At 40.1% G+C, this 15985-nt stretch overlaps 1 protein-coding gene across 9 annotated transcripts in view, besides 1 other annotated feature; it reads right to left on the reverse strand.

Annotated features, from left to right (window-relative positions):
- WWTR1 (WW domain containing transcription regulator 1) overlaps positions 1 to 15985 on the reverse strand; it is a 207554-nt gene that overhangs the window by 78229 nt on the left and 113340 nt on the right. The window lies entirely within an intron of this gene.
- Positions 9159 to 9849: an enhancer, noted in NCBI's record as "H3K4me1 hESC enhancer chr3:149322409-149323099 (GRCh37/hg19 assembly coordinates)". NCBI's record gives its function as "activates a minimal SCP1, AML or CMV promoter by ChIP-STARR-seq in naive H9 embryonic stem cells {active_cell/tissue: H9 hESC(naive)}" and the evidence as "EXISTENCE:reporter gene assay evidence [ECO:0000049][PMID:30033119]".

The raw sequence follows: 15985 nt of genomic DNA on the forward strand, positions 1-15985 counted from the left end.
TAGGAGTAAAATATCATATATTTTATTTGCTTGAAAATACTACTATTAAATAACATATTAAACAAATATACCAAATGTTAACAATTCTTAAATCTAGGCAAGGGGTATATGGTGGGTCATTACCCTATTACTCTCTCCTTGCATGTTTGACATTTTATTACATAAAATGTGATCAGATTTTTTTAACAATAAAATCCTTCCTACTTGGTTCAAGTTTCCAAAATGAACTGCAGTAGAATTCCTCCCAAATTAACATTCATATTATGGTTCAAATTTCTCCATAATTGGGCGAGGCGCGGTGGCCCATGCCTGTAATCCCTGCACTTTGGGAGGCCGAGGCAGGTGAACACCTGAAGTCAGGAGCTCGAGACCAGCCTGTCTAACATGGTGAAACCCCATCTCTACTAAAAATACAAAAATTACCCCAGGCATGGTGGCACGCACCTGTAATCCCAGCTACTCGGGAGGCTGAGGCAGGAGAATCGCTTGAACCCGGGAGGTGGAGGTTGCAGTGAGCAGAGATCACCACATCACTGCACTCCAGCCTGGGCAACATGGTGAGATTCCATCTCTCAAAAAAAAACAAAAACAAAAACAAAAAACCAAGTTCTCCATAAACTGGTATTGTCTTGGGAGACATTATTAGCTCAATGGACTCAAAATTCTTTGTACATAAAATCAAATAGCATATTTCCTTCTATCCTCCAGTTATAACAAAAATTACAGTAAAGGACAGTAAGTGTTCTAAGAGAAGTAGTGAAGTCTGTTCTGAAACTGAAAGTTGTTTGGATGTTTTCCAAAGACAAGCCATCATATTCCTGCCCTGCTCTCTCAGACCTGGCACTGATAACACAACAGCCTTCAGGAATTCATTTTTCTTCTGAATCATTCTCCACTGGGGAATTAGCCCTGGCATTTCTAATTCCCTTGCTGGGCACAAGCAAGCCCTGGCACCACAGCTTTCCCAGAGAAATCCCTCTGTAACCTGTTCCTCTGTCAGTGCACTGATTAAGTTAGAAAAGGTGAGCCCACTTCTCTGTGGCTCGCTGACCTCAGGACATGAGGAACTGTGGATTTGAATACACAAGGCAACAGCCGTAGTGCAGTGGATCTTCTAGTGGACCCGCCACTGGTACACATTTTCTTGACTCTGAGGACAGAGGCTGAAGAGCACTCAGAGCAGTACCTGGTGCCATCACTCAGACTTTGAAGCCATGTTGCATAACAGATAATGATGTGCGCAATGGCGAATCTTGTTTGAAGGTAAGATCTGCCGCTTACTAGCTGTGTGACTTTGGATAAGCTACTGTGCTTCTATTTCTCAGTTTCTACATCTATACAGTGGAGATATTGCACAGTGGTTAAGACGTCTGGAATCAGATTGTGTTCCAATAGTAGCTCCTACACTTTCTACTTAAATTAACTTGGGCAAATTACTTAATCTCTTGGTGCCTCCATTTTCTACCAATATCTATGACACACAAAGACCTTAGAACAAAACCTGGCAGATAGAAAACTATCAATAAATATTAGCTACCATTATGATTAGGACACAATGATCTACTCCATAAAGTTACCCTGAAATTAAAGTTAATAAAGCATGCAAAGCTCTTAACATGGTGCCTAGAACACATAATTGTTTAATAAATGTTAGCTATTGTGATTTGGCTTCACAATAACTGTTAGGTAAACAGTGCCAATATTAGTATTTTATTGATAAGGAAGCCAAGGATCAAAAAGACTCAGTGACTTTCCCTCTGTCGTATGCTGACAACAATGACTTTACTATTCCATGCTCATACTCTTCCTAAAATTCTCTATGCCTTAAGGATCCACTATAAAGAACAGAGAGAAACTAAAATAGGCCAGGAGCCTGTAATCCCAGCACTTTGGAATGCCAAGATGGGTGATAGATTGAGCCTAGAGGTTCGAGACCAGCCTGGGCAACATGGTGAAACCCCAGCTCTACAAAAAAAAAAAAAAAGAAGAAGAAGAAGAAGAAGGAAAAAAAAAAGAAAAAAAGAAAAATTATCTATCTAGGCGTGGCAGCGCACACCTGAAGTCCCAGTGCCTCGAGAGGCTGGGGTGGAAGGATCACCTGAGCTCAAGGGAGGGTGAGGCTGCTGTGAGCTGTGTGAGAGTGAGATCCTGTCTCAAAAAAAAATAAAATAAAGTAAAAAAGATAAACTAAAATAGCATTTGAAGATAGACTCATTAACATCAGCATAAGCATTCTGAAGCTAAGTTTAAAATATAAACTAGTAAATGATGAGACTGGGAAAGATGCTTGGAAGAAAAGCAAGGAGTCCAACCTTGGACACAAGTGCACTTTACTTCGTGCCACTGAAAGTGTAGGCCGAATCCTTTTTTTGTTTGGTTTGCTTGAATCACATTTTAAATGCACAAGAGAGGTCACCCTTTGAAAATTAATTCTGTGCAAATCTTTTTGGAATGATTATTTTTTAAAAGAAATAAGCTCCACCCTTTTATAAATGGGATTGTAGTTAAAGATTTTCTGTATCTGCTTCACTCAAAACAAGCAGCATCTGTACTCAAGTGCATGCCTGCAGGTGAGTGTTGTTGGTTAAGCTCAGGTGAACAGTGAAGGTCCCTGAATATGTGACAGGGCCTAACACAGGTGTTGGTGTTTGACCTACAATGTACCAGAAAAGCCGTAAAGGCAAACCCCCCAATAGATCCTTCACATTACCTGTCTCCTAGCAGCATGTCAAAAATCAGTGCAAACGTAACAGAAGAATGCCAAAGTCAAGAATACAACTGAGAACATCTTGAAGCTACGAATTAGTACTTGCCACCATCCAGCTGTTGGTTGCCTATAGATTATCAAGAATTTTACTTGTATCATTATCTCATTTAATACTCACAATAATCCTGGAAAAATTATTATCCCCATCTTATAAATGAGGAAACTGAGGCTCAAAAGTTTAAAAGACTTGCCTGAAGCTACATAGCTCATAAGTAAAAGAGTAGGAATTTGGACCCAAGTCTGACTGGCACTCAAGCCAAGCACTCTTGAAATTTTCTTTAATCTTCTTTCTAGTGTCTCCTAGTGTCTCCCAAATTGCTTGGATTACAGGCGTGAGCCACTGTGCCTGGCTGGTTTCTGTCTTTTTTCTAATGCATGTTTTTTCCATGGCTGTGACCATATTGTGGAAAATGCTGTATTCCATTTTTTTTTCATTTAACATCATAACAATATTCAAATGCCGTTAAAAACTTTCATCAACATCATAATTTAATTAACAATTCCTTACTGTTAGATATTTATATTTTTCTTTATTCATTACAAATAATGCTTCAACAAACATCCATAAGCATAAGCTTTTCTCAATGTTTTGAGTTATTTCTTTAGGCTAGAGCCCCAGAATCAGTACCACTGGGTCAAAGAGCATGAATGTTTTATCATTTGCTTATTTTTTTTAGAGTGAAAAAAGTACGGCCTTATTACTTGTAAGTCATTATATATGGATTTTTAAATTATTATTTGTACATAAGAACAATTTTAATGATATTTGCACTATCAAATTATCTTTAATTGGCCAACCAATTTTTATGACACACTGACATGTTTGGATTATATCAGTCCATAAGGTAAAGATTCCAAAATGGCAATGACCAAGGTCTACCATAGGCACCTTGGTTAGAAAGTATCACTCTGCATAGTACTGACTTGTAGATGAATAGCTGGATATTGGAAGGAAGATTTGATTCATGAAGGTTAATGGGCTGGGGAAAGCAATGGGTCCAATTAGCAAATGGATTGTTCTTGGACCTTCTGCTAGTCTCAAAAGGATAAGCTTATGGTTCCCATGGCCCATGGCAGAAAACACAGAACAAATAACCAGGTTAAACACTGAAGTTCAAAAGTTGGCCAGTAATGGTTGTCAAGGGCTGTGTCCAGGAAATCCCGCCAGACAGGCACTGTTTGCAAATGGCTGGGAAATATGGTCTGTTGCCATCAAAAACAGATGAAAAGCAGGATTTGGTTAAAAGAGTAAGTCTTTGCGCAAGCAAAACCTTTCCAAAATAAAGAAACAGTGTATAGCTGTTGCCAACTGACCTTGACTGAAAAGAGGGGCCAGTCCTGTACCAATGCTCATTATAACCAGTCTCAAACTACTTAAATGGTGTTGAGTGGAAATAAGACTTAATCAAGTGAAGAACCTGCCAGCTTTGACAGTGGTAATATCCCAAACTAAAATCCTCAAGAGTATCATTAAATCAAAAATTTTTTAAACTTAAAAGTAAAATACACCAAGGCAATAATATCTACTTTAGTATTAAGAGAAACTACAATAATATGAAGGAGGATCCATTAAGTTACATGTTCAAAAACATCAAAATTCCAAGAGTTTGAGACATCTTTAAATAGCGACAAGGTATATAATGGGCCCTTCATCTTCACCTGTTTCACATCCTGGGATTCAACCAACATTGGCCTGAAAATATTCAAAATAAATAATGATAGTACAACAATTTGTAAAAATGAATACAAATAAAAAACAATACAATGATACAGTATAACAACTATTTACATTGCATTTACATTTTATCAGGTATTATAAGTAAATCTAGAGATGATTTAAAGTATAAGAGAGGATGTGTATAGGCTTTATGCAAATATGATGACATTGTCTATAAAGGACTTGAGCGTCGTCAAATTTTTGTATCTTCCAGGGTCCTGGAACCAATCCTTTCCGGACACCAAGGGACAACTGTATATCACACAGTGTAATCAAATGGGGCAAGGGCCTATTAATAATAATCTCTTCAAGTAATGCCATTATTAAGAATCAGTAGCAGTAGCTTTAATTAAGATTCTACCTGTAACACAGTCCCCGATGGGAATATAATTGAGTTAATATATGTAAAGTGCCTGGTACATAGCAAACACTATGAAGTATTAGTTAAGCTAATAAAGTCACAGGGCCAAAAGGGAAAAGAGGAGCCTGACAGCTTCCTCACCCTGATTCTTCTCTGTCCCTCCAAGCACCTCAAGCTGGGACCTCAGTCCTCTGTCCTTGACACTCACTCCACTCACCTGAAGGGGAAGAATAAAATAAAATTGATAATAAGCATTAGTTGTACCTCATGGGCCTGGCACCTTCCTTTATACATTAGTGGAAATAAAGCACCTTCCTCAAGGCAATAGCCACCCTGGGGTACCCATTTGATACATTAAATGAAATCCAAATAAAGTCTTTCCATGAGTCATAAAATTTCCTATTTAAAATTCACATTATCAACTGCTTGACCAATAGAATATGGTAAATATGATGTACCAGTTTCCGGCACCAACTCATGGCTCCTACTTTCTGTTTCATGGAATGCTCACTCTTGGAACCCAGCCACCATGCCATAAGGAAGCTCATGCATTTTGTAGAGAGACCCACTTGGAAAGAAAATGTTGCCTGGCTGACAGTCAACACCAACTTGCTAGTCATGTGGGTGAGCCCCCTTGAAAATTAATCCCTTGTCCCCCAGTCAAGCCACTCCAAATGACACTGCATGAAACAGAGAGAAGCTGTCCCTGTCAAGCAAGCTCTGTTTAAATTTGTGACCAAAATTAATGACTATTTTAACCACCCTCCCAAGTACATTATCTTAGCAAAACATAGACCTATGCTCAGGCTCTAATTATTCAACATTTCCAAATTCAAAAATGTATCAATTTCAAGAGGTAGATGCATATTTTATAATTTTTTATAGTTTTTCTTTCTTTTTGAGACAGAGTCTCACTCTGTTGCCCAGGCTGGAGTGCAATGGAGCCATCTCAGCTCACTGCAACCTCTGCCTCCCAGGTTCAAGCAATACTAGTGCTTCAGCCTCCTGAGTATCTGGGACCACAGGTGACACAGGTGAGCCCCCATACCTGGCTAATTATTGTATTTTTAGTAAAGAGGGGGCTTCACTGTGTTGGCCAGGCTGGTCTGGAACTCCTAACCTCAAGTGATCCACCTGCCTCAGCCTCCCAAAATGCTGGGATTATAGGCATGAGGCACCACACCCAGCCAAGTGGATGCATATTTCAAACAAAGCACCCAAAAATGCCCAGGCATGACCATTTCTCCTTTTCTTGAAACTACAAGGTCAATCCCCTTGGGAACTTCCTAATACTTCTCTAAAAACCAACCTAAAAAACCCAAAACTAATACATCCTCCAATTCTTCAACATGTAAAGTCCTTGTAAACAAAGCTACAATGACCCAGAATATGAAAAAAATTATTTTTTTTTTTTACTTTTTAAAATATTATATAATTCTATTCTTTGGCTACCTTTTAAGGATCCTCCGGTCTACTTGAGAAATAAAACGTGCAGGTTTAAAACACCCAACCGACAATGCTAAAGGCAGTACAGCAAGTAAGCAAGCCATGTAATCATATGGTACAGAGGGAGTGGCTGCCTCAGAACGGAAGAAATTCAACTTGAGCAAAATGTGAGAGATGGGTACATTATGCTTGAAGTTACATTTACCCACAGAGATTTTGCCACACTAGTGGTTGTGGAAAGTCTTATTTCTATCAGATTTTAAACTCCTTTTGAGCCTGGACTACATCTAATTTTCACATTTACCATTAACAACCACAAACCAGGTCCTACTAGAAAAACTACCAATATGCATTTGCAGACACTCAAATAATGCTGGGGGAAAATGAGGAAACAATAAATTTTCCCCCACAGGAGAAAAATGTATCTACGTAGGGCTAAGAGGAAATGTTAAGAAAACCAAAGGCAAAGTTCAGGTAGAATTTTCCGTCTGCAGAGTCATGATATAAGAGGATATTTTAATATCCTTTATATTCTTGAATGAGCATTCACATGTATTTTTGCTAGCAACTATTTTGGAATGAGCTGATGATTTGGATTAAAGAATAAGCAAAGCTATGTGAACAAAGGCAACCCAAGATGGGAAGGCGTTATTGGCAGCAGCGTTCTTTTCACTCTGGACCCTGAGCAACCCTGAAATTCCAGCAGTCACAGGGTCCTAAATACTTGGGGACATTCCGACTCAGTCTCACAGACTGAAAGGTAGAGAGCACAGATCTCAACAGGAACTGAAACTCTAGTGTTGATCATTGCCCTGACACAACTTTAAAGTGGCCACCAAACCCCTCAAATAGCTATTTTCATCCTTGTTTACACTGGCCACACTGACACTCAATTGGTGAGAAAAGGCTTCCCCCCCAACTTTTTTTTGAGACGGAGTCTCACTCTGTTGCCCAGACTGGAGTGCAGTGGCACGATCTCGGCTCACTGCAACCTCTGCTGTCCAGTTTCAAGAGATTCTCCTGCCTCAGCCTCCCGAGTTGCTGGGATTACAGCATCACCACACCCAGCTAATTTTTGTATTTACAGTAGAGACGGGGTTTCACCATGTTGGCCAGGCTGGTCTCGAACTCCTGACCTCAAGTGATCCGCTTGCCTGGGCCTCCCAAAGTGCTGAGATGATAGGCATGAGCCACTGTGCCCGGCCAGAAAAGCCTAATTTTAAAGCCAAAGATAAATAAATAAATAAATAAATAAATAACCAGGCTTCTTTCTACTCTAGGTTTCAACTGTAGAAATCTATTTGCAAACTTCAAAAACTATTAACTTTGGGCAAGAATTTTTAAGATCTGATAAGAGGAGACTCTAAAGTTAATAATGTCTTGCTTTGAGGAACAAGGGTCTCCACCCACCCTGGGCTCATAAACTGCCCCCCTCACTACCACTCTCTGGCTTCCCACCAAGTCCTCAAGAAATGATTTACTAAGTTCAATCAAGGAACCAGATTCTATGAAATAATAAAAGGAAAATGGAGTTCATGACTGAAATCAAGCTGGGCAGAGACATAAAGGGTCTTTGTTAATAACTGTACAAGGGAATGCAAATGAAGACAGGCTTCACAAGGAATTTTGACATCTTAATGAAGATTTATGAAGAATTTGCAGCATATTAACCTCAAATACAAGGGGAATTACATAGTCACATAAAAACACTGCTTTATGATTTCTTTAGCTTAAAAACAATTCAAAAGACAGTTTCTTCATGATAATGCTAATAATTTAGTTACAAAGGTTCCCCACCCCCCCCTTGTACTCCACTCTAATTACATTCTCCATCCCCCATTACATTTCTTTCTTTGGTTAACTCTGAAGTGATACAGCTCATTGGCATGCCCTAAAGCTGTGAACTGCCCCACTGATGAAATCATGACAGTGATTAAATTTCTCTATTCCACACAGAAAGTTTTGTGTTACACAGTTTTCTTTGTTCATGTCCTTAGTAACGCAGAAAATCAACTGACATTTTCTCCTAATAATGAGGGGAATATAAGATAATGTCAATGAAAAAAAAATCCTCTACTGGTGCTACATAAGCGGCATACCAAAAAAAAAAAAAAAAAAAAGCATGTGAAGCTGTACAGATCTCAGTCAAGAACACATTGGCCACATCTAAGGTCAGTGATAGTATTTTGCCACGGTCATAGATTTTATGTTGTATTCATGATACATACAGATAATTAGAAAGACTGAGTTCATTAAATATATTCAAAACACAGAAACTTTTTAAACTCCATAAATAGTAGTAATACTATAAGTAGTAGTACATGAAAAATAGTTTCATATTACATAATATGCAAAGCATTTTTGCTTTTGATTCTCTTAATATTTATTTCATGCTCCAACCCTGTAAGATAAGTATTATCCCAACTTTATAGGCTAAGGACCTGAGACCTAGAAGTTAAATAACTGGCTTAAAATCACACTGCCAACACTGCCAGACAATGGCTGAGGCCTCATTCCCTGTGACAGGGCCACCCCCTCACAGCTCACTGCATGCACACCCCACCACATCCCGGGAAGGAGCTTGCACAGGACTTTAAGGGCACATGACTTGGCTTCCATCTCTACTCATCATCCAGAGATGCTCCTTAGCTAAAAGAGAAGTTAATCTCAGGAAATCAATGCTAGCAGGGCCAGGTTTTACTCTTAGGGTTCTATCTCAAATTTTAGCTACAATTTAGAAAATGCAGGAAGTGAAGGAAGGAGGTCAAAGAAAGAGCCCTGGGACTTCCAGGAGGGCCAGGTGCTCCTTGTGTCACAGTTGCTGCTACAAGGGCTGCCTTAATCCCTAGTCCCCTAGCCCAGCCCCATTCCTCCCAGCCCACATGCTGACCAGCTGCTCAGTGTTTCTCTGTAGGGTATGTGAGGGGCAGATGCAGGCCAGCCCAAGGCTGCTGGCCTTCCGTGTGCTGCCCTTCCTGCTGAAGCGGTACTGGCCCTTCTTCACACCCTCCCAGTCTGCTCAGATCAGACACACTGGCAGGCCAGAAGGCAGGTGGGAGGACAGGTGCCAGGAAAAACCAGGCATAGAGAAAGGCCCACACAGAAGCTGAAGCCATACGTTCTGCATTCTTACCCATGGAGCAAAGGAGGGAAATGTCAATGGAAGGCTTGAGGTGCTGAGGTTCATGGTCACCTTATCCCTTGGATTTCAGGGTAGTGAGATTCATGGATAGGCTTCCAAGCCTGTGCACTGAAGGAGGGAAGGGTCACTAATTGAGAAAACAAGTAATTTAGACAGAAGGAGCAGCACTAAAGGTCCAGAGGCCGGAGACAGCACAATACACAGGAGAAACTGTAAGATCATCAATATGGTTGGAGAGTGGAGACCTGGTCACAGGGCCTCTCATAAGCTAAGGCATTTGAACTTTATCCTAAATGCCAAACGAGGAGCTTCAAAGCACATGCATAATTAAGACATCTGTCTTTTTAGAAAATCACTTTGGCCACAGCATGAGAGTGGATCAGAGGAGAGTAAGACCAGCTACCAGGTAGGAGACCAGTTAGAAGACTATTGCAGGAGCACAAGCAAAGGATGACCTTTCTAGTGTAGTGACCTACACTAGAAAACATAGACAAGGGAGCAGGTTATGGAGGAAATGTATGAGGCGGGACTGAGAGAACTTGGAGGACTGGATGTGATAGGTGAGGAAGAAATAATGGGTGAGGCAGTAATTTGAGCAATGTGGTTACTGAGTTCCATAACAACGGAGAAGGAGCAAGTTCGAGAGTGAGATAATGAATTTGCTTTGGACATGTTGCCTTTGAGGTGACTGTGGCGCATGCAAGTAGACGTGTTTAATGGGCAAAAGAATAGGGTATCCAGCACTCAAAAGAAAGATTTGTGCTAGAGATTTAGACTAGGGACTTATCACCATACAGTTGCTGAAACATTTTCTCTAGTTACTAAAATGTGGTCCCGAGTTACAGACTCCCTCAAGCCCCAGCCACCCCATGAAGCTGCTTTCTTACCACTAGTTAACATTCTGAAGTCCTCTCCTGAATCTAATATCCTGTCCAATACCACTGAGATACTGGAGAAACAAGAGAACACAGCTATAAAGACAAACAGGTACTGTCACAGGTGGCATACTGCTATGGTGTGAATGTCTGTGTCCCCACCAAATTCATATGTTGAAATATAACCTCCCAACATGGGGCCTTTGGAAGGTAGTTAGATCATGGGGGCAGAGCCCACATGGAATGGGATTAAGGCCCTCATGAAAGAGGCCAGAGAGAGCTTGTTTATCCCTTCTACCATATGATGACTCGGGTAGAAGGCATGATCTATGAGGAATAGGCCCTCATAAGACACCACATCTGCTGGTGTCTTGATCTTGTACTTCCTAGCTACCAGAACTGTGAGAAATAAATGTTTGTTGTTTCCTGAGCCACCTAGTTTATGGTATTTTTGTTATAGTAGCCTGGACAGACTGAGAAACATACTAATTATTTCATGCATATGTATTTTCCTGTCCCATTCCGCTTTAAGCGTTTCAGGTCAAAAATGTGTCTGCTATATGCCCTGGGTTTCTCTAAGGCAGTCTTGGTTTCAAACATTCTGGCCCTATGCATTCTTTTATCATTAAAATTTCTAAGAAATCCCAGCATTTCCTCAAATAGTAACTGACCAAATCTAGTCAGTAAACATTATAATATATAGGTCATGAAACACTGAGGTCTACAAAAGATACACAAAACTATGGGGTGAGGAAACATCAGTATTTCTCACTAAATTACACGAATAATAGCTTATATTGATATAGCTTCTTTTGTGAGGGGTGGGTAAAATACCACTTATAGGCTCATTCAAACCAAGTGCTGAGAATAGAGTGATGGGCAATACACACTCCGCCTTCATCCAGCTTCTTGTCAGATAATGACATAAACAATTACAGTTGCTCAGAAGAAGTAAGGATGCTAACAGGGGAAACTTCAGTCCACATAAAACTCAGGGAAAGCTTCCATAAAGAGAAGACCTTTCAAGTTGAGACTTACCAGGAATTAACTAGATGATAAAGGCAGAGAAGGAAGAGATTCCAAAGGGCGGCAAATGTGTGTGTGAAAGACCTGAAGTCAGATTTAACTTTATTCAAAAAGAACTGCGAGGCATCCACTCTGACTAGAAGCAGAGCAAAGCCGGGGTGGCCTGGAGGGGAGTGATACACAGTGAATGCTTTCGCTATTGTTGGACTATTGGTTACGGTTATAATACTACTATTACAATGGTATTTTTTTATTTGTAAAGCCCAAAAATGCCACCCTCATAAAAGCAGACAAAACTCATGATATCAAGGCAAAGCCATGACGCAGTTTTAACAGATATTACTATTTTCAGTTGCTTTTACTTTTTGAAATATTCATCTTTTTTAGTATTCATTGAATAAATGCATGTGAAATCTTTTTTTATGAGGAGAAATGTGTAACATAAATATAAATCCACTAATGCTGCTTAGAAGACTGATAACACGGGTTAACTTCAGTGACCTTTGAGAATTTGACATAGTTCTTTTCTTTTTTTGAGACAGAGTTTCACTCTGTTGCCCAGGTTGGAGTGCAGTAGCGTGATATTGGCTCACTGCAACCTCCACCTCCTGGATTCACGCCATTCTCCTGCCTCAGCCTCCTGAGTAGCTGGGACTACAGGCACACGCCGCAATGCCCGGGTAAATTTTTGTATTTTTAGTAGAGACAGGGTTTCACCATGTTAGCCAGGATGGTCTCGATCTCCTCACCTCGTGATCCGCCCGCCTCGGCCTCCCAAAGTGCTGGGATTACAGGTGTGAGCCACTGCACCCAGCCTTGACGTAGTGATTTTCTAAAGAACTTACTGAATTGATCTTCCCTAAAGTTTTAAATTGATTGAAGTACTTTCCAAATTAACTAATATAACTAAAACGATAGAATTCATTCTTTGTCAGTGAGGAATCAGAGTTCTCTTCAATGATTAACAACTTTAGGCGACTGCAAAAGTCAACAAAGACCTGTGTGACTGTAAAATTTCCTCTGGTAATTCAAAAACATTACTCAGAGATTTCCCAAGAGATAACTGAAACAAAAAAAGAAAAATAAGTAATGAATAAGTACACCTCCTCTGAAAAGTACGAATAAAACCATCTACCTAGCATCTTCAACAGGAGATTCCATTAGAATGCAAGTTTCGTGAGGGCAAATAGTTTAGTCTTCAAGGCCTAAGCCAGTGCCTTGAAGTACATGGTAGGTACTCAAGAACTATTTGTTACATGAATGAATAAATAAATGAATAACTAAAGTAACTGCAAAAATCAATATCTGATATTGTTGAATTCTGAGTATAATTATTCATATACATTTATTATTTTTAATAAAAATAGTGTAAATGCCTAATTGCCCATTATATTGTTTTTATAACTTCAAGAAAGACTGCACAAAATAGAAAAAAAATTTATTTAGAATACTAATATGTACATTTTTGTATTGTAACTACCCTACCATCTGTTTCACACACATGCACACACACAAATGTGCACACACACACAACCACCATCACCAGAGCCTGCACAGTTAGCACATATTAGTTTCTCAACAAATATCTAAATTTTTTTTTTTTTTTGAGATGGAGTCTTGCTCTGTCACCCAGGATGGAGTGCAGTGGCATGATCTTGGCTCACTGCAACCTCCATCTCCTGGGTTCAAGCCATTTTCCTGCCTCAGCCTCCCAAGTAGCTAGGACTACAGGCATGTGCCACCACGCCTGGCTAATTTTTTTGTATTTTTAGTAGAGATGGGGGTTTCACCATACTGGCCAGGCTGGTTTCGAACTCCTGACCTCAAGTGGTCCGCCTGCCTTGGCCTCCCAAAGTGCTAGGATTACAGGTGTGAGTCACCACGCCAGGCCTAAATAATTTTTTAAAAGGTAAATTGCAATAATTATCAGAAGAAGAACCAAAACACAAGTGATAAAGGGTCTAAAACGTTAAGATCAGTCAAGTGGCTCACGCGCTATAATCTCAGCACTTTGGGAGGCCAAAGCAGGAGGACTGCTTGAGCCCAGGAGTTTGAGACCAGCCTGGGCAACATGGCAAAACCCTGTCTTTACAAAAGAAAAAAAATAGAAATAATACAAAAATTAGTGAGCTGTGGTGGCATGTGCCTGTAGTCCCAGCCACTCAGGAGGCTGAGGTGGGAAGATTGCTGGAGCCTTGGAGGTAGAGGTAGCAGTGAGCCCTGATCACACCATTGCCCTCCTGCCTGGGTAGCAAAGTGAGACCTTGTCTCAAAAAAAACCTAATTAATTAATTAAAATAAAATGTTAAGCTCTACACGAAGCCCTAGAAGTCATCTAGTCCAACTTCATCATGTACCAGATGGGCAGCCAAGGTCCAAAGTGCCATTCAGCTTTACACTAACAGGGCAGGGACAAGAACACTGGACTCCTCAAAGCCATCCAACTCCACCAGGAAATTTTCTTCACAAGTTTGGGTTAGCTAATCATAATCGGATTACCTACTAAAAGGTACAGAATGTGTAATGTGTTATCCACTACACCTCCCCACCTAAGAAATTATTGCGCTAGTTCACCAGGATAGGGTCAGCAAACTATGCCCTGCACCCAAATCCTACCCACTACCTGTTTTTGTACAACAGGGAATCTAAGAATGGTTTTTACATTTTTAAATAATTGTAACAAATTAAAATAATACTATTTTGTGACATATGAAAATTCAAATTTTTGTGTCCATAAATACAGTTGTATTGGAACACAGCTACTCTCATTTGTTTCTAAAACTGTCTATGGCTGCTCTCATACCACAACAGCAGAGCTGAAAATTTACAACAGGGACTTTATGGCCCATGAAGTCTAAACTATTTACCTCTAGCCCTTTACAGAAAATGTTTCTCGACCTTTGCACTAGGAGATAGCTAATGTGGCTTTAGTAAGTTTCACCTTCAAAAGAGCCAGGGTTGTCCCCACCAACTTGCAGTCACTCACATGCTATTTCCTCTTCTTTGATTACTGAAACTCCACAGCAAACTATTGTTTTTACCAGTCACCCAGAAAACGAAGATAAACGTTTCCACAGAGGAAATAATAACCTTCCTTTTCCAAGGTCCTCCTCTGCCTCACGTCCAGTGAAATTAAAAGCAATTCTTCATTCACAGGGGTTCTGTGTCATTTTCCCCAACAGAATTCAGAGGACAACATTAATTCACTTTTACAATGAAGGGCTCAGGCAGAAGAAAAGTAGCTAGTAGTGAGTTTATCCTAAGAAAAAAAGGAATGTTTAACATTTTCTGGAACGGAAAGCATTTTTGTTTTCCCTTGAGATGCTATTCTTTCTAACATCAAATGCAAACTGCCATTATATACTATACATCTTCTAAAAATTGAAAATCATAATATCCATACTTAAATTTTCAACTTTCCAGTTTTCCAATTACAAGCAAAGTACCAAATTCATACCTGCTCAGTGTTGCAAAATGATTTTAAAATGTAATGATGTTTTTGTTTGATTTTGTTTCATAGTATTTTCCTCTACCAATGTACAAAACACTCCCTTGTAACAAATAAACTAAGAAAATCGCATTCCCAGGGCCTTGGGAAATAACTTTAAGGGTGTCTCTGTTCACTTACATCATGAACCCAGCTCTTATGCTCCTAAAGTTACAAATGGCCACTCTTCGTTTTAATAGCAGATTTAAAGAAACCTAATGTTAGTTCAACACGGGTAAACAGTCTCTCACACAGTATAAATAAAGAATTCTTTGAGTTGTAAATAGTAGTTGCTCAAAGAAGTGGAAGGGTGGCTGAGGAAGACAGAGAAAAGATGCCTTCTCTCCTCTCTTTCTAGCAGGGCAGGCCAGGGAAAGGAGGCAGGACGCCAGAAGGCTGGAAGAGCTCAGCCATCCAGAAGGACAGCAGGGTTGCCAACTTCTGAAAGCAGCCACCATTCATTCACTGTTCACTCATTTGTCAAACATCAACTGAACACTCTCCTATTTATACAACATCCGGGGGACTCAAAAGAAGAAAACAGCCTGGACACTGCTGTTCATAAGAAGCCTTACTGTCCAGGCACAGTGGCTCACACCTGTAATCCCAACACTTTGGGAGGCCAAGGTGGGAGGATCGCTTGAAGTCAGGAGTTTGAGACCAGCTTGGGCAGTGAACCAAGACCCCATCTGTACAAAAAAAAAAAATTTTTTTTAAATTAGCTGGGCATGGTGGTTCATATGCCTGTGATCCCAGCTACTCAGGAGGCTGAGGTGGGAAGATAGATTGACCCCAGGAATTCAAGGCTGCAGTAAGCTATGATTGCACCACTGCTCCAGCCTGGGTGACAGCAAGACCTCATCTTTAAAAATAAGAATAATAGTAAAAGTTTTTAAAAACTTTTTTTTTAAAAAGAAGGCCACTAACATGCAGGTTAAGGCAAAATGTACGCAGAACCAAGAAAGCTGCGTAGCAAGACAATGACCCATGCCAGGGGTCAGCTAACTACAGCCTGCAGGCCAAGTCTAGCTGGCAGCTTGTTTCTGTGAATAAAGTTTTATTGGAATATGGCCACACTCACTTATCTATGTATTGTCTACAGATGCTTTCACATTACAATGGCACAGTTGAGTGGAAGCAACAGAGACCATGTGTCTGGCAAAG

The sequence above is a fragment of the Homo sapiens genome, chromosome 3, assembly GCF_000001405.40.
Source record: "Homo sapiens chromosome 3, GRCh38.p14 Primary Assembly".
NCBI classification, from domain to species: domain Eukaryota; kingdom Metazoa; phylum Chordata; class Mammalia; order Primates; family Hominidae; genus Homo; species Homo sapiens.